This window comes from Homo sapiens, chromosome 10 (assembly GCF_000001405.40).
Source record: "Homo sapiens chromosome 10, GRCh38.p14 Primary Assembly".
Taxonomy (NCBI): domain Eukaryota; kingdom Metazoa; phylum Chordata; class Mammalia; order Primates; family Hominidae; genus Homo; species Homo sapiens.
This window is the reverse complement of record NC_000010.11, coordinates 114,764,397-114,783,648: the sequence shown is the minus strand read 5'-3', so window position 1 is coordinate 114,783,648 and position 19,252 is coordinate 114,764,397. Positions and strand designations below refer to the sequence as shown.

The window sequence follows — 19,252 nt, the reverse complement described above, 5'->3', positions numbered from 1 at the left end:
TATTTTTGTTGTTTATTCAATACCACCCACTCCTGGTTTTCTTTCTATCTTAACTCCCCTATCCCACCGTTACATGTTAGCATTCTTCTTTTTCTTCTTCCTTTCATGCGCTAGCTCCATAAATGATCTCACTAATTTCCATGGATTTAAATACTACCACTATGTGGATCAATTTTGGATTTGTATCTGTAGCCCAGACCTCTCTAAGATTCAAACTCAAACACGGAACAACTCATTTAAACTTGTACTGGGTATCTTACAGCAGACATCTCAAACTCACTGACAAAACTTAGTTCCATAAAACCTTTCCCTTTCTTTTTCTCTCTCTTTTATTTTTTTTAGTTTTTATGTTTATTTATTTATTTATTTATTTTTGAGACGGAGTCTCACTCTGTTGCCCAGGCTGGGGTGCAATCTTGGCTCACTGCAACCTCTGCCTCCCAGGTTCAAGCAATTCTCCTGCCTCAGCCTTCCAAGTAGCTGGGATTACAGGCACCCACCACCACACCCAGCTAATTTTTGTATTTGTAGTAGAGACAGGGTTTCACTATGTTGGCCAGGCTGGTCTTGAACACCTGACATCAAGTGATCCATCTGCCTCGGCCTCCCAAAGTTCTGGGATTACAGGCGTGAGCCACCGTGCCTGGCCAAACCTTTCCCTTTCTTATCTTCCCCATCCCAGCATCCTCCATTTCAGGAAACGGAACTGCAATATACTTGATCACTGAAGCCGGAAACCTAAGCATCATCCATGGTTCTTCCCTATTCCTCAGCCTCATGTCTAATCCATCGGCAAATCCTGTCAATTCTACCTCCAAAATATCTTATTCTTCTTATTTTTTTTCTTCAGCTTTATTCCCATCACATTTTGGGCTACCATCATCTTTCAGCCCAATTACTGTAACAGCTCCAAACTAATCTCTGAACTTCAATTCTTCTTCCCCTCGAATCCATTCTCCATGTAGCAGTAAAAATTGATCATAAAATGTGGAGATCACACCATTTGTCTGCTTAAAGTCTTTAAATGATCTTTCATTACATTTAGTTTAAAAAACAAATTTCAGGTTTTCGAACTGGTCTCTGCTTATCTCTCCAACTTTTGAAGTGTGATTATTTAAGCTCATGTATGTTCTGTTCAAGCCTTTGGCTTTCCAGTCTCTGAACGTGTCAGGCTTGCCCTCCATCTCACGTATAGCTTTTGAATGTACACCCCTAGTCTGAAATGATCTTTTCCTTGCTCTTTCTGTGGGTAGTTCCTTGTGTTCCCTTAATTACCCAATCAATTTAAATCTGCCTTTTCTGTTGTTCTTTATTCCAGCCCCTTGTTTATTTCCTGATTGAATGAATAAATGAATCTATAAGATTCCTAAGGATTTATCTAATAGGAATAAATAATGAAAAAGTATTAAAAAGTTCTTAGCATGAGGCCTGGTGCAGGGTATATGTTAAATCAGAATTTTTTTTGCTACTATTTTTCACTTTAATTTAATTTATAGCATTCTGTAGTTCCTAAATGAAGACTTGTGTCTGGAAGGTGGCTGTGTTAAAGCTCAGGATATTCTCACTTCCTAGTATCACAGATGGGTAACCTGATTTAAGCAGAACATCCCTAGTTTTTATGCTTTGGTTTATTAAGAATATACTAGTAAAGAAAGGAGTGAATCTTGCTGGTAGGAATTGAAACATTTATGGAGATCCAAATAGGATAAAAGACAAGAGCACTAATAAAACTATCAGACCACAGTGCCTTTTGTTTTTCCTGATCAAACAGATACAGAAAGAGCATGTTTAGATTTTGGCAATTTAATTGGTCAGACTGTGATACTAATAAGGCTCTTGTTATATGCTTCTAAATTTAGTCAGTTTGATATCAGAGAGTTCTGCAACTTTAATCTTTATTAAAAATAAACCTTTTCAATCATTAGAGCACCTAGGGCAAGTAGAAGGATGGTGCATTAATTATATATATATATATATATATATACACGCATATATATATACACACACACACGTGCATATATATGTATATACACACACATATATACATATATACACACATATTCACACACACATATACATACACACACACACACACATATATAGATATATATACACACACATATTTTTCTTTTTTTTTCTTTTTTTGAGACAGGGTCTCACTCCATCACCCAGGCTGGGGTGCAGTGGCATGATCTCGGCTCACTGCAACCTCCACCTCCCAGGCTCAAGTGATCCTCCTGCCTTAGCTTCCCAGGTAGCTAGGATCACAGACGTGCACCACCACGCCCAGCTAATTTTTGTATTTTTGGTAGAGATGGGGTTTCACCATGTTGCCCAGGCTGGTCTTTAAGTCCTGAGCTTAAGCGATATGCCCAGCTAGGCCTCCCAAAATGCTGGGATTACAGACTTAAGCCACTGCACCCGGCCCATTATATTTTTTTAAGTGGGGGTGATTTAGGGAGTAGCATCACTTTACAATACTAAGAAGAGTACACACAAACAATACACAACTTATATAACATTAGTACTGGCATCAAATTTTAAAACCATTAAAGGCAAGACATTTATTCAAATACTTGTTGGTTGTTTCTCAGGAGAAGTGATTCTGTTGCCCCTAACAACCACGGGGCTACCAGAGTGACCTTTTTGTAGCCTTGAGGATTTCTGCTCAAGGAGCCCCCTCCAGGCAATTGCTTTCTACTTCTTCCCAAACCTGTAGTCTCACCCTCTCCAGTCTCTTGGTCTCCCTTAAGGACTTAGAACAAAATTTTCCTGAACTCCATGATCTTTTAACCTTGAACCTGCCCTGTCCACTGTGGTCTTTCAGGGGTAAGGGCTCAAACTCCTAGGCCTTGTTTTACCATGCAGTCAAAAAACATAGAAAAGAACAACCTAAGAGAAGTAAGAAAGCTTTGACCTGTGAAGGAAAATTGATAGGAGGCCGTTGGTTTGTACTGAGCTCCTGCACTGGGCCCAACAGACCAAAGCAAAATGGAATAATTCCTGCTGAAGTTTCACACCACCAAACCAAAACCAAGGTGTTTATCTGAACTTCCAAGGAATCAGGGGGTTGGGGGTGGCAGGGAGAGAGAGAGAGCCAAATCCCCAAACAGGCCAGTTTTACCCGGCATGATAAGGAAGTCCCCTCTGCTTTAACCTTTAGGAAGAAAGCAACTTCAAAATGACTAATCCACTTTTTGTTCTCTATGTCTGCTTCCCCAGCCCTTTTTGTCTATAAAGCCAAACTTCTCTGTTCAGCTCATTTACAGATTGAGTTGTTGCCTGATTCAAGAGTCACCGATAAAAGCCTATTAAGATCTTTAACTAAATGGGTTGTAATTTTGTCTTTTGACAGAGCCACTTGATTTCTTCCCACAGAAAGTTTCACCTTCCTCTTGCCTGCCACCTTCTTTTTCAGGAATCCCACTGTATGCTCTCAAGGACACTGTTTATTCTGCAACTCAGGCCAAAATTCCTTTTTCCTAAAGATGAGGTGGAGAAGAGAGAAGGCCTTTGCTTTCCTTGGCATGTTAGGGTGTGAGCAGTGCTTTTATAGAGAGTTGATTTCCTGGAAAACCTCCAGCCACAGCCCTTTTATTTATTTTATTATGATTTTTTACTCTGCCATAAATTCAACCAAGTGTACACAACCCTTTTAATATGTGAATGATGAAACAATAAAAGCCACAGCCTCCCTGGAAGGCAGGATGTGAGTCACCATTAAAAAAAAAAAAGTCAACACAAACTTCATCCCAACAATTTTATTTCTGAGGATCTTTCCTAGACGTATAGTTGCATGAATGTGAAGAGACATGTTCAAGGATACTCAGTGCAGCCTGGTTTGTAACAGTGAAATCAGAAACAACATAAATGACTCGCAAAAGAAAAATGGTTACCTAAACTATATTACACCCATTCTATGGAATATATCCATACTATGCAACATTCAAAGAATAAAATAGATCAATATGCATCGATATGAAAAGACCTTTAAGACAAATTGTTAAATGAAAACAAATCTATAGAAAAATAAGGCATAATCCAGTTACATAAAAATACATATTTCTTTGTGTATATGTACACACACATAATGTATATATGTATGTAAACAAAGAAAAAGATCTTGAAAGATACCCATCAAATAGTAGTGAGTTTTTGCTTTGTTTCTGAATTTTTGACAATTTAAATGTATTGATATGCTACTTATGTAATTAAACATTTAAGAAAAAAGGGCAAGGAAAGCAAGAAATCATGCCGCATAGCATAATGGCTAACTGCCTGGTCCCTGGAACCAGACAACCTGTATCCAGATTCTAGCTTGCCACTTACTTAACCTCCCTGCACTTCAGTTTCCTCCTTTGTAAATTGGAGGGTAACAACAGTGCCTACCTGAAGGTGGTTATAGACATGAAATAAGATGATATGTTCAAAGTGCTTGGGACCTAGTGAGGGCTATATAAATGTTAGCTAGTATTACTGATTAAGGAGAGAATAAATCACTGGTGATTCCACTTTAGTCAGAGAAGAATGATTATTTTTTTCATATTCTGGCACTAGTGAGACCTCAGGAAATGTATTTTTTAAAAAATCAATGTCAAACAGCCCTGAAGATGAGGCTTCTAATGCTCCTGCTATTACCTAGTCTTCCTGGAACAAAATGCACACTGGAGAGAGTACAGTTCGACCGACATTCATACCAAATACTCCACTGGGTGCTGGAGACCAGTGAGGCAACATTTCTGCTTTTAAGGGACTCATTTTGTGTTATGGGGGGGTGTAGTGGAGGGAAGAATCAAATCAGCAAACAAATCTTTTTAACACGGGTTAGTCCACAAGATGGGATTACACAGAACTGTGAGTGGAGCTAGAGTAGAAAGGAATGGGAGGGACAAGAACACTCCTGGTAGACGTGAACACTCTGGAAAGATGAGAGGAGTTAGCAATGAAAATAAAAAAGGGATTGGGCATTTCAGGTAAGGGAAACAACATGATTCATTTAGGGGAACTACAAGGAGTTTGGTATTGTTAAAATGTATGTGTGTGTGTGTGTGTGTGTGTGTGTGTGTGTGTGTGTGTGTGTCTGGATGATGAATGGGAGGGGGACAAGGAAGAATGGCCGGAGGAAGTAAGGAACAACAGGTTTGGAAAGACAGTGACAACGATTGGTGACCTTAATTATGTAGCATCAGAGTAGTAGTAGAAACAAAGCAAGATCGCGATGGAAAGATTACTGAAGACAATCTAACTATTTGGACAGATTGAGAGATTTTTTGTTGTTGTTTTTTGAGACAGCATTTCACTCTGTCACCCATGCTGTAGTGCAGTGGCCCAATCCTGGCTCACTGCAGCCTTAACCTCCCGGGCTCAGGTGATCCTCCCATCTCAGTCTCCTGAGTAGCTGGGACCACAGGTGTGTGACACTATGCCCGGCTAATTTTTGTATTTTTTGTAGAGATGGGATTTTGCCATGTTGCCCAGGCTGGTCTCAAACTCCTGGGCTCAAGCCATCCACCTACTTCAGCCTCCCAAAGTGCTAGGATTACAGGCGTGAGCCACCATGCCCAACCAGACTGATTTTATGAAAGAAGTCTCATTTTGACAAGTCACCTTTTGAAAAAATATGACAGGCTGACTTCTGACTTGTATTTCCAGGTAGAATGTAGCAGATCATGGCAGGCCAGCGCTCTTGCTGCAACACCTAAGAAAAAGAAGGATAAGTTACCAAAATCATAGTGCAAAAGATTTAGTGAGAGACCTTAGTGAGAGAGCTGTGGAAACAATGAACACCATATGAACTAACATTGCAGAGAGAGGGGAGTACTTCCTAAGGGAGCTGACAATCTCTGGCCATTTTCCTCCCTGGGGATTTTTGTCAGTTCTGAGTGAAGACTAAGAATCATGCTTGACTAGAGGGACTCTTGGTGCTTGCGTGGGGCTGGCTTGACAGATTATAAACTAGTGTAGAACTGAACACACAGGAGCATATGCTGATGCTTGGGTGATGCAGGAGGCTGGGAGACTTGGCCAGAGAGGCAGAGTGAAATATCCCAATTTCATGGTACTTAAGAGACAAAGTCCCACTAGGAGGAGGCATCCTGCCATAAATACATGGCCAGTTACCCTCAATTATTTTATATACAATGTTTGGCATGCAATTAAAATTACAAAATTTGTGAAGGGGCAGGAAAATATGGCCAATAACCAAGAGAAAAAGCAGACAATATGAGCAAAGCCACAGATGGTTGATATACTTGAGTTAACTGACAAGGACTCTAAGAATAATTATGATTAATAAGTTAAACAAAATAGAAAAAATATGGAAAAACATGAAAAGAGAGAGAAATTCAACAGAGGTAGAATCTACTAGAAAGAATCAAAAACACATTTTAGAAATGAAAAGGACACTATCTGAAATTAAGAACACTTTGGGTGAGTTTTACAGGCAGAACACAGCAAAGAAAGAGTTAATCTATTTGAGGACAGGTCAATAAAAATGATCCAAATTGAAACAGAAAAAATCATGGAAGAAAAAAATGGGGCAAAAGAGACATGTGGGGCATAGACAAGCAGTCTAACATATTTATAATTGGAGAGGGTGGGGATAGAGAACGGGGCAGAAAAAATATTTAAAAGATTTAAAAGACAAGTGCAACCTAAGTAGAATAAAAGAAACTTATACATAGGTATATCATAGTCAAACTGATGAAAACCAAAAATTAAAAAACATTTTAGGCTGGGTGTGATGGCTCACACCTGTAATCCCAGCACTTTGGGAGGCCAAGGTGGCAGGATCATTTGAGGTCAGAAGTTCAAAATCAGTCTAGGCAACATAGTTGGACCCTGCCTCTACAGGGAAAAGGAAAATTAGTTGAGCATCCCATAGCTGGCATTCTTGTAGTCCAAGCTACTTGGGAGGCTGAGGCGGGAGCTCAGGAGAGTGAAGTTCCAGTGAGCTATGATCACACCACTGCATTCCAGCCTGGATGAAAGAGGGAGAACGTGACTGTATTATAAAAATCCATTTTATTTTTTTTTTGAGACTAAGTCTTGCTCTATTGCCCAGGCTGGAGTGCAGTGGCACAGTCTAGGCTCACTGCAACCTCTGCCTCCTGGGTTCAGGCGATTCTCCTGCCTCAGCCTCCCGAGTAGCTGCGGCTACAGGCACGTGCCACCACACCCGGCTAATTTTTGTATTTTTAGTAGAGATGAGGTTTCACCAAGTTGGGCAGGCTGGTCTCAAACCCCTGACCTTGTGATCTGCCTGCCTCAGCCTCCCAAAGTGCTGGGATTACAGGCATGAGCCACCACGCCCGGCCCAAAACTACGTTTTTTAACAAAGGAAAAAATATGCTTTACCTTCAAAGGTACAACAGTAAGGGCAGCTGCAGTCTTTTTAACAGAAATTATGAAAAAATAAATGGAATGACACATCTTCAAACTGCTGAAAAAAAAAAAAAGAAAAAGATGTCGCTAATGATTTTACCCACACCAAAAATGGGTTTGTTGTCCACCATCTCATGCTCAGGACTATTTGTGGGTCCTCTGCAACACTCTTCAGTATCCTGAGATGTCTTCCTCATACCCCTCTATATTGTAGGATTGCAGGCTTCACAGTTCTGTGGTGTCAAGATCACCTATGCCACGTTATGTCCACTGTAGCTTTATACTCCTTTAAAGTGACCTTTAGTTTTATTCACTGGCTTTAATCTGCAATCAAATCAAAATGTTAATGTAATCCCATCAGGAGTTTGGCATTCCATTGACTATTAGCAACAGCCCTCTGCCTATATATTAGGAACATAATTTGTATTAGATGCTTCTTTTCTGATTTTTTTGGGTAAAATAGTGTTGATGTCCTAGTGGTTAGAAAAATGTTTCATGCCTTACAAATGTTAGATTTGGAGTTCAGTCACAAATGATATATCCTGCTTGTCACTTAAGAATTTAAATGAAGCAGTTCAATAATATAAGAATCAGTGCCATCACTAGGTTGTAGGTTCCATTCACTATGATTTGATGTATCTAAATGACTGAGAAGGCTTGTAAAACGTGTGTCTTCAATAATCCCATAGATTCATCTGCAGAACACTGAGAACTTACTGTGGCTAATGTGCTCTTCCTGGTCTATCTATGGTATTCAGAATGATAATCCAGTCATTTTCTAAAATATGCCTCACCTCTCTCTTGGAACTAAAGAGACACCATCCAGCAACAGAGGAATAATCCTTGATGATTAGGATAAACCAGTTGCATCTCCTGATCCCTCAAATATTCCATTGAACTCCCACATATCTAATTCTCAAACTGCTCAAATACCCTATTGATATGGTTTGGTTCTGTGTCCCCACCCAAATCTCATCTCGAATTGTAATCCCCACGTGTGGAGGGAGGGACCTGTAATCCCCACATTTTGAGGGAGGGAGGTGATTGGATCATGGGGGCGGTTTCCCCATGCTGTTCATGTGATAGTGAGTTCTCATGAGATCTGATGGTTTTATAAGTGTCTGGCATTTCCCCTGCTTGCATTTTTCCCTCTCCTGCCACCATGTGAAGAGGGTCTTTGCTTCCTCTTCACCTTCCTCCATGATTGTAAGTCTCCTGAGGCCTCCCCAGTCATCCAAAATGTGAGTCAATTAAACCTGTTTCCTTTATAAACTACCCAGACTCAGGTAGTATCGTTATAGCAGTGTGAGAACGGACAATACACCTGTGTTTTTTGTTTTGTTTCAGGAAACTAGTTCCTGGCATGGGCATCTTTGGACATCTAGTACTTTTTTTCCCCTGGCTTCTGCTAGGGACTAGAATTCATTCTTATCTCCGCCTTGGTTCCCTTGTACTGATTTCCTTTATGACAGAGCCTACATCTAAAATATTTAACATCTCTGCTCTGCTCTACCAAATGCTGCCCCTAGCCCTCATGTCTAGGTTAGAGGTCCTTCCAAGTTTCACATTCTGCCCTGGCTTTGGACTAGATTACTTATTACTCTGTTTAACTCTGTCTCTTGTTTTTCAGTCCAACTTTTTTCTCAGTTGTAGGAGCCCTACCAATGGGCAGCTTTCAAATATTTGTTCATTTTACCTATCCTCGTGGAACTTCACCCGGTATATGTGCAGCTTAGGAATCAGTAAGGTCTCAAGAACACTCTTCTGTAGATTCCTGTAGCTCTTTCTCCACATAGTTTCCTCTGGGCACTTATCCCACAACTTCCATCCACCATGGCCTCTCGGGACCATGCTTGTTTTCTCCTAAACTCAGTGAGACCACTGAGCTCTGTCTGGGTTTCTCCTCCCTCCACCTGTAGCCTGGGAGTTTCCTCTAGTCAGAAGCCATGGCATTCATAGGACTCACTTTATTTGCTTCTGTTTTCTCAAGAACCACTGTCCTGGGCTGCCTGTTGTCCAATAACTAAAAATAGTTGTTTCATGTATTTTTTTCAGTTTTGTTGTTTGATTTGGGAAGACAAGTCTAATTATTACTTCATCATGGCCAAAAGCAGAATTCCAGTTTATAATCTCATTTAAATCTCTCTTCTAACTGTAGTTAAGGGTGTCTTTCTAATACTCTTTATTTATTCTTTCTTTTTTTTCTTAGTTTCACTAAAGGTCATTCATTTTGTTAATTCTTTTCAAAGAACCACATTTTATCCTAGTTCTTCATTTCAAATGTATTGATATTTAGTTGGATTTATTTCTATGTAAACAAATTTCTTTTTTCCTCATTCTTGCTTCTATCTCATACTTTTTAATGGTGGTCATTTTACTCTACATAAATATATTTATATATTTACATATATATTTATATATAAATGATACAGAAATTTTATTAGTGGTACACTCAATATCTGTCTTAAAATATCTATCTTGCCCTCATTTTTGAAAGATATTTTTGCTGTTCATGCAATTTTTTTGTTTTGTTTGTTTGTTTTTGAGACGGAGTCTCTCTCTGTAGCCCAGGCTGGAGTGCAGTGGCGCAATCTCAGCTCACTGCATCCTCCGCCTTCTGAGTTCAAGCTATTCTCCTGCCTCAGCCTCCTGAGTAGCTGGGATTACAGGCATGCACCACCATGTCCAGCTAATTTTTAAATTTTTAGTAGAGACAGGGTTTCACCGTGTTGGCTGGGCTGGTTTTGAACTCCTGACCTCAAGTGATCCACCCACCTTGGCCTCCCAAAGTGCTGAGATTACAGACATGAGCCACCGCGCCTGGCCTATTCGTGAAATTTTAAATGAACAATTATAGGCTAATCAGAATTCTGTTGTCTCATGGCTTTTATCCTTTCCCTTGAGTCTGTTATCAATCTGTTTTGTTCCTAGGCTATGTCCTTTCTCTTTGACTGCTTTTTAGATCTTATCTTTGTTTTTAGTGTTGTTCAGTTTCAATATCAGTGTGTCTAGGTCTAGATTTCTTTTTATTCATCCAACCTGGTATATATTGTATTTCCTTTATTGATATATGTATTTTATAATATTCTTAGTTGTTTTTCCTTCAAATGTAGTCTTTTCTCCATTTTAAAATTGTTTCTTAGGACTCCTATTATTTATAAATTAGATCTTCTTATCCTATTGTCAATATATCTTAACCTCTATTTTGCATTATTCATCTCCCAATATTTTGGAGCTGTATTTCTAGTGGCTTTTTAATATCTACTTTCCAATTCACTAAATCTTTGGTTCTGTTTGTCTGTTTTATCTATCCAATGAGTTTTAAAATTTCTATAGTTGATAGTTGTTATTTCTATTTGGTTCTTTTTGAAATTTACTTGGTCATTTTTGATAGTCTGGTGTTGGCTTAGTTTTGTGATGTGTATCTTTTGTTATTTTTTTGTTACTTTATATATATTTTATCTCTTGTTTTATATGTATTATCTGGGAATTATAATACCCAAACTACTTAGTATCTATTTGTTGTTTCTGCTGACTCTCACTCAGCATGGCTTCTTTTCCTGTGTATTTTGGCATCTTTTATTATGACCTCATGTTTGCTTGATCTTTATTTGTGGAATCCTTGGGGTCTACACTGATGAAGGTTTTTGTGTTTTTTTGAGACAGGGTCTCACTCTGTCACCCAGGCTGGAGTGCAGTGATGCAATCATAGCTCACCGCAGCCTCAATCTCCTGGGCTCCAGTGATCCTCCCACCTCAGACTCCCAAATAGCTGGGACTACAGGCACAAGCCACCACACCTGGCTAATTTAAATTTTTTTTTTTTGGTAGAGTTAGGGTTTTGCCATGTTGTCCAGGCTGGTCTCAAACTCCTGGGCTCACATGATTCTTCCACCTTGGCCTCCCATAGTGCTGGGATTACAGGCATGAGCCACTGTTGGATGCTTTTACTAAAAAAGAAGTATTTAAAAAGAATTTTAGTTTGCTTCTCTCGGGAGCCAGGGATATGACTAATCTGAGGTCATTTTATCCCCCTTTAGTGGCCTGGCTTAATGAAGACTCTCAGGCTTAGCTTCTCCACCTTGTATACTGCTTTTCTAACTTGTTTGCCAGGACTTCCTCATTGCCTATTACATAGTAGGTATTATAAAGGTATTTGATTAAAAACCATTGAGTAGTTCAGTGTGCCTTTAAGCTTGAAGTTATGCAGAAAGAAGAATTATTCTCATGCTACTCATGAGAAGCTTAGGTTCAGAATGAGAAGTGATGATGAGTTGGCAGCTGAAAAGCTGTGGGAGTAAGACTCAATATTCAATTATTTAAAAAATCAATAAAGAAAAAATGTTAATAATGTACATTACCTTTCCTTCCATTAGAAATTAAAAGAGCATTTTTGGCAAGAGTCAAATAGGAACCTCTTTTTTTCAAACACAGACTGGAATGTGTTTCATCCCTTTGGTCTATATAAATTTTTCCTCTGGTTTCAACCAATAGATTGTACTTTATTTCCTGACTTTAAAAAGTGGCATTTACTATGTCTCCTAAAATTCCTTGCACTTTACAATTTGCTTTTACAATGATTTCTAAAGTATTCTCAGTTATTTCAGATGAGACATTTGTTAGGAGATTCAAGCCATTAACAAACTTGGTTGCTGTATGATTGGAAGAATTGGTTTCAGATTTCTGAGATTATAGAAAGAGATTCTGAGATGATGTGAGTGGCCCTAAAATGTCATTTCCATATATCACAACTCCAAAATGTAAGAAAATCACATATATTTTAAAATATATACTTAACCTGAAGAAGACTAAAGCTAAATACATAGGGAAACCTCTTTTTAGCTAAAGATGACCTTTGATAGCAAACTTACCATTTTGCAACCTGCCAGTCAGGCAGGCACGGAGTACTTGCTATGTGCCTAACAGTATTGGGAAAGGTGCCTTATTTGAGACTTACATCTAGGAGTGAATTTTATAATCATCTGTGTAGTCTATTACAAGCATCTTAAGGACAAGAGTAAGATCTGTTCATTATTAGGAATTTGCCACTGTATCTGTAATTCTGCTATGAGGTTATAAGAACCAGAACTATTGTGGCAGTTAGAGAAAAAGACTAGATATTACTTAAAAGAATAGGCCGGGTGCGGTGGCTCATGCCTGTAATCCCAGCACTGTGGGAAGCCGAGGCGGGCAGTTTGCCTGAGGCCTGGAGTTCGAGACCAGCCTGGCCAACATGGTAAAACCCCGTCTCTACTAAAAATACAAAAATTAGCCAGGTGTGGTGGCACGTGCCTGTGATCCCAGCTACTCAGGAGGCTGAGGCATGAGAATCACTTGAGCACGGGAGGTGGAGGTTGCAGTAAGCCAAGAGGTGTCACTGCACTCCAACCTGGGTGATAGAGCGAGACTCTGTCTCAAATAAATAAATAAATATTAAAAAGAAGGCACACAGTTCTGGGACCTCTCTATCTTACTAGTATGATATCTGATATAACATATGTTCTGTATACTTCCAGAACAAATTCAATTCGACAAGACTGGCCAAGTCCCTGATTTCAAGGAGATTTGGGGAGATAGAAAAGACTTACAACAAAACCATTAAACAGCAGCAGAAAGCAGTGTGTTAAGTAAAAACAGGTGATTCTGAAAGTAAATGCCACAGAAGTTGATTGAACGAGATCACTGTGGGTTAAGGTAGAAGGAGAACCTTTCATAAGATGTTATATGAGTTAACTTGGGTGGGGAGGAGGACACTGGGGAAGAAAAATGAGAATGAGTAAAGGCAGGGAGACAGGAAACATATTATCTTGTTGAGAAACAGAGGGAAAAATAGTCTGTCTACAGTAAAATGTTTGAGTAGGGAGTAGCTAGAGATGGCACTGGCAAGGTAGGAAAGCACAGATTATGAAGGACCTTAAAATTTCAGTGGACTCTAAGCTTTGTGTGGGCATAGATCATGTCTATCTTGTTCACCATTGTAACCCTAGTATCTACCCTAGAGACTGGTACATAATATGTGTTCAATAAAATTTTGCTGGATGAATTAATTGCTTGGATGAAGACAGTTTGAAATGTTCAGTCTGTATCTGGAGATCAGTGAGGACCCACTAATAACCTCATAGTAGAACATGAACTAGTCATGTTATAAATAGAAAAATTATTCTCAAGGTAATGGGCAAAATAAACCTGGGGGGTGGGTGGTAGGGAGGCAGTGGAGGCTGGAGGCTGAATGTAGGCAGGGCAACCAGGCTATTCCTGTGATCATGCTTTAGGTGAGAAAGGTTAAGAGTGGAATGAGGATAGTGGGAGAGGAGAGTTGTTTTGAGATTGAAGCAACTGAATTGTGATTCACTGGCAAGTTTTCTGCCTAAAAGACAGTGAAAGGGATGTTGTCAAGATGGATAAATAATGAGTTGATTTTTGTAGTTGGCATTTGAATCTGAGAATTTCTATTCCCATTACAAATCTTTTTTCTAGTATTTCCTTTCCCACATGATCATTTGGTTGGGTTTTTTTCAACAATGCTCAATTATCCATCAATTATTTTTTCTGAAAGAATTACGTTCACCTATTTTTTAATATTTCTGAATTGTCAGAACTATTATACAATTCCATACAATTCCCATCACATCAGGATGGATTTGGGCAGTGCCAACATAGAAAACAACTAGAACATCTCTTTCTTTTCTTTCTTTCTTTCTTCCCTTCTCTTTCTTTCTTCCTTCCTTCCTTTCTTTTCTCCTTCCCTTCCTTCCTTCTCTCTCTTCCTTCCCTTTCTTTCTTTCTCTTTCTTTCTTTCTTTCTTTCTTTCTTTCTTTCTTTCTTTCTTTCTTTCTTTCTTTCCTTCTTTTCTTTCTTTCTTTCTTTTCTTTCTTTCTTGTCTGTCTCTTTCTCTCTTTCTTTCTTTTTCTTTCTTTCTTATCTCGATGGAGTCTTGCTCTGTCACCCAGGCTGGAGTGCAGTGCCGTGATCTCGGCTCACTGCATCCTCCACCTCAAGCGATTCTCATACCTCAACCTCCCGAGTAGCTGGGATTACAAGCACCGGTCACCAAGGCCTGCTAATTTGCTTTTTTTTTTTTTTTTTTTTTTTTCATTGAAGACAGTGTTTCACCATGTTGGCCAAGCTGGTTTTGAACTCCTGACCTCAAGTGATCCGTCCACCTCAGCCTCCCAAAGTGCTGGGATTACATGAGTGAGCCACCACACCCGGCCATAGAACATCTGTTTTGAGAGTGCACAGAGGAAGAGAGGACAGGGCGTGAGAGTGGAATCCCACCTTTTTAGTTAGAATTTCTAGATCTGGTGGCTTTTTATTATGTTGCTTATTAGCATCAAGCGCTAGTTGATAAACCTCCAGGGCACTAAGAGGTTTTTGTTGTATTTTCTCCTTTTTATCCTGACATATAGAAAAAGGGGATTTGTTCAGAGTGGTCACCAGCCCGGCCCAGCCCCGACTCTTCAGAGTTGATGCAGTAAATCAAGTGTATGCACAGACCTCCCTTGAGTGTCTGTTGGCTCAAGACCGGGTGCTGGGTGGGGGGACCCTGACGCCCCCCGCTGACTCGAGGGTCGCTGGAGGAAAAGTCCCGCCCCATCCCACCCCGCCCATAGGCTTTCCGAGAGCCTGGCCGACTCGGAGGGGCTGGTGGGTCGGTCCCCGCGTGTGGACTGCGGGCTGAGCCCCCTCAGGCGACCGTGGTCTTCGCTCTCCTGTCAAGGGCATCACTTAGGGGAAGGAACGAACGGCCCTTTCTTGCTTTCTCTCTCTGGGACCAGAGAGCTGGAGAGCCATTCGGAGCACCCACGTTATTTTTCTTCTTATTAAGAAGACGGGCGGGGAGAGGGGAGGACGCAGACCCTCGTTCCTCGGGGACAGAGCCCCGCCCGGCGCCGCGGCAGAGCGGCTGCTGGACCCGGGTGGGCCCCGGCGGCTCGGGGCGGGGGAGGCGCGCCCCGCCCAGCGCGGCCGCGGGTGTCAGCGCTGCCGCGCCCGGCGGGTCCCTGCGGCCGCTGCGTCCCCGCCCGTCGGCCTTGCTGCGCGGAGCGGGCGGCCAGGTGTCCTGCGGGCGGCGTCCCCGCACCGGGAGCCGGAGGGGGCCGGGGCCGGGCGGGCGCTCCGGGGCTGCCTTCTTCCCCGCGCCCTGCGGGGCTGTCCAACGCCTTCCAGCTCCGGCTCCCGCTGCCTGCACCATGTCCGCCAGAGGTGAGTGGGGACCAGGTGGGCACCGTCCACTGACCCCGGCGGGCCGAACAGGTGCGGGAGGGCGGGGGGGCTGCGACAGCCGCGCCGGCCCCAGCCCGGCCTGAAACTTTGGCAGCGGATCCCCGGGCTCGGGGCTGCCGGGGGCCGGGGGCAGGGGAAGGAAGCCCTCGCCCTTGACCTTGATCCCCGGATGTGGGCGAGCCTAAGGGCCAAAGTCGGCGCCCCGCTCACCTGTGCCCGCCGCGCGTCTGGGCTGGGAGGCGTGGGGGATGGGCTCGCGCTGGCTGCCCTGCCGGGAGCTGTGGAAGGGCTGGCCAGGAGGGAGGAAGAGGTATTTTTTCCTCCTTTCTAGTTACCATTTTGCAGCTCGGCTATGGAAGAAATCCAGGGCTTGAGGCAGCACGATTTAAAGCTGCAGTGCTTACACCCCATTAAAAAAAAAAAAAGTAAATTCCCCACCTGTACTCCCCTCTGCATGAATCTCCCCTTCCACTCCCCACCCATTTTCTTTCTGGAGTAAAACAATTACTGCAGGTGAAATGGGTGGAAGAAAAAAAAATCAGAATTGCTTTTCAGGCAAGAATAAAGGGAATGTATTTCTTGCCATCTGGAGCCAGCGACGATGCTGGGGAGAGTGGGTTAGTCATAGCTCAGTGGCTGCTAGTATGAGTGAAATATTAAAGAGATCAAGTCATTCTGCAGCTTGCGAGCAATTAAAATGAAGTGAATTGGTTGCTTTGCCGTAAGCATTTAAAGAAAATATTGATTATTTTTAGAAAGTGTATTTGCAAAGCAGTAAGTGCCACCCCTTTTGATACCCTGAAGGCAACCTGTAAGAGGAGTTGCGGAGTTGTTTTTTTATTTTTTATTTTAAACTCCGAAGCTTTAATCCTGCTTTTTGGAAGGAGTTTAGGAATTTGATAACGTGTTGGATAATTAAGCGCTGCTTTTCAGAGTTCATCCTGGGGCATATAATGAATAGAGTAATCTCTATCCAGAGTGTTTTAATTCCTTTTCAAGCACTCTGATCTTTGTTGATGATTGCTTTGGCGATATGGTTGGTTGGATCTGTACCTAGAAATGGGGTGGAAAGGACTTGGTGGAATGACAGAATTTATATTGTAGATACCAGGATGCAGAGGTGACATAGGGCTCTGAGATACTACCTGCCTATTCATGCCTAATTATTCACGTATATTAGAGAACGAAAAAAGAGCATGGAACAGATAACACCATAAGGGACTTGGTGTGTATATGGATGGAGTCATAACAATCTCTGAACTATGTTCTTAGACTGAGGCTTTGAGTGCTGACCGCTGTCCTAAGTACCACAAGGAACATATGGAGAATATCTCTTATAAGTTGTAAATCTCTCTGAGGTCAGAGTCCACTTCTGATTCAGCTTTACAGCACCCAAACCTGTTAGTGCAGAACCTTGCACACTGTAGGGGCCAAGTAACTATGTGGAATCTCGGTATGCCCTAGGAAGCATCAAGTTTGTTAGGCCGTCACACAATTTCATTTAGTCTCTGGCCCCTCCTATTCCAGGGTCTCGGGTTTATCTGAGGATGTGAAATGAAGATGGCCCCAGAGATTCTAAGGGGCTCTAAGCCCTGGAATGGGACTGAGTTCTCAAACATTTCTTCTTCAACCCAGTTTCAAGCAGGATGGTTTGGAGTCAGCTATAGACATTTCATTCAGTTGTCTTATTTCCCCTTCAAACTTCATGTTGGTCATCTTGCATTTAACAGTTTGAAGTCTGACTAATCTTGTAGAGGGAAAAATATCTATAATAATAAATATCAGTTATTGTATGTTTATTAGGTGTCAGGTACTTTACATGTGTTACATTATTTAATCCTCACAATGACTCAATCAAGTAGCTATTGTTATTACCTCCCCATTTTACAGATGAAGGAATTGAGGTTTTGAGAGATTATAAAATTTGCCTGAGCTAAGCTTGGTAAATGGCAGATCCTGATTTCTACCCAAATCTGTCTGATTCTGATCACATCCACTTTGTTTTACTACTTCTGTTATTAGTCCTTCAAATATTGTAATAGACATCACAATCATTGATTTGCTAAGAAGAGAGAGAGAATGGCTTAGACATGGCATTGAAAGGAAATAGCCTTGATAAGTAACTTGGAATTTCCAATACATTTAGAAACATCTTGGTAGGCATTTGGTAATGACAAAGTGTGGAAAACAAGGCCGCTGATACTAGATGTTGTTAATTTGATATTCCTAGTTTTTTCTTCCTATTTCAGTGTTGAGAACCAGAATTTCCTAGACATTACCAAAGACTGAGGATTTTACGTATCTTTTTATGCAGCACTTTTATTTATGTGAATTTGAAAAAAAATTCTAAAAGATTAGTAGAGTGCTTAGTAGTTACGGAGTTGAGTTTGTCTAGAAATGTGTATATTTTTGTCATTAATTTTTTAAAAGATTTCAAAACTGTGGGCTTCACTATGGTGTTTCAATTCAGTCATCTGCTCTTGTCTGTACTCCTGAAAGGGGAAATAAGCTTATAGGACCAGAAGCTTAATGTGTCTACTTAAGTACCTAACTTATCAATAGGAAGTCCTTTAGATCCTTGAAAAGATAAATGCTCTTGATTTTTAAAATGATCTCTACTTATTTCTAATATCTAGGCTTGTAGATTATGGTAGGAATAATAGAATATTTTTTTTTTTTATAGTTGAAAATGGCCGGGCGCAGTGGCTCACACCTGTATGTAATCCTGTCACTTTGGGAGGCTGAGGTGGGTGGAACATGAGGTTAGGAGTTTGAGACCAGCCTGGCCAATATGGTGAAACCCCATCTCTACTAAAAATACAAAAATTAGCTGGGCATGGTGGCGCATGCCTGTAGTCCCAGCTACTCGAGAGACTGAGGCAGGAGAATAGCTTGAACCCAGGGGGCAGAGGTTGCAGTGAGCCGAGATTGTGCCAGACAGAGCGAGACTCCATCTCCAAAAAAAAGAAAAGAAAAGAAAAGAAAAAAGTAGAAAACAGCCCCCCTTAAGGGGGCACACAATGGAGACAGGGGCTGGGGCTGCTTACCTCAGTCCCATTTGCTTGACTTACTTGTCCTTGTGTCTCAGGTGTGCTCTCTGCCTGCTTGTGAGGTTCCCCTGTTCAAGCCTTTGGTGGGATCATGTGTTTGGGGGCCTTGTGGGAGGTCAGCTGCACTGGAGTGCTGCCCATGGCCTGCGCAGGACATTTCCCAGCAAGGGCCAGAGGAGTTACTGTGTTTTCAGTCTGAATTGAATGTCAGAGCCAGCCAGCAGGGCTTCATCCTCTTGGGGAGAACACTGCTTAGCAGATTAGGTCCTGGATAACTTGCTTGTATTTTTTTAAATTAAATGTCCCTGGTTGGTTTAAAAAAAGGAAAAGAAAACAATGAAATCAATTGGCCGGGTGCGGTGGCTCACGCCTGTAATCCCAGCACGTTGGGAGGCTGAGGCGGATGGATCACTTGAGGCCAGGAGTTTAAGACCAGCCTGGCCAACATGGTGAAACCCCATCACTCTTAAAAATACAAAAATTAGCCGGGCATGGTGGCACACGCCTGTAATCCCAGCTACTCGGGAGGCTGAGGCATGAGAATCGCTGATATTGCGACTTTGCACTCCAGCTTGGGTGACAGACTGAGACTC

General features: G+C 41.5%; 1 protein-coding gene and 1 long non-coding RNA gene across 22 annotated transcripts in view; one reads left to right on the top strand and one right to left on the bottom strand.

The window, feature by feature from the left end:
* ABLIM1 (actin binding LIM protein 1) overlaps window positions 1–19,252 on the top strand; it is a 370,264-nt gene that overhangs the window by 17,725 nt on the left and 333,287 nt on the right. For 6 of the 21 annotated variants that reach the window (XM_017016255.2, XM_017016250.2, XM_017016245.2 and 3 more), the window contains exon 1: window positions 15,345–15,588. The exons of the other annotated variants lie outside the window; for them this stretch is intronic. In XM_017016255.2, the coding sequence (XP_016871744.1) occupies window positions 15,576–15,588 (13 nt within the window). In that variant the 5' untranslated portion in view covers window positions 15,345–15,575. Of the gene's footprint in view, window positions 1–15,344; window positions 15,589–19,252 lie in introns of those variants that run through there. 21 annotated transcript variants of the gene reach the window in all.
* LOC101927692 (uncharacterized) lies at window positions 3,746–18,861 on the bottom strand. Its single transcript, NR_120628.1, has 3 exons — window positions 18,657–18,861; window positions 7,488–7,707; window positions 3,746–5,698 (listed from the first exon to the last, which is right to left on the bottom strand). It is a non-coding gene; the product is annotated as an uncharacterized LOC101927692 (long non-coding RNA).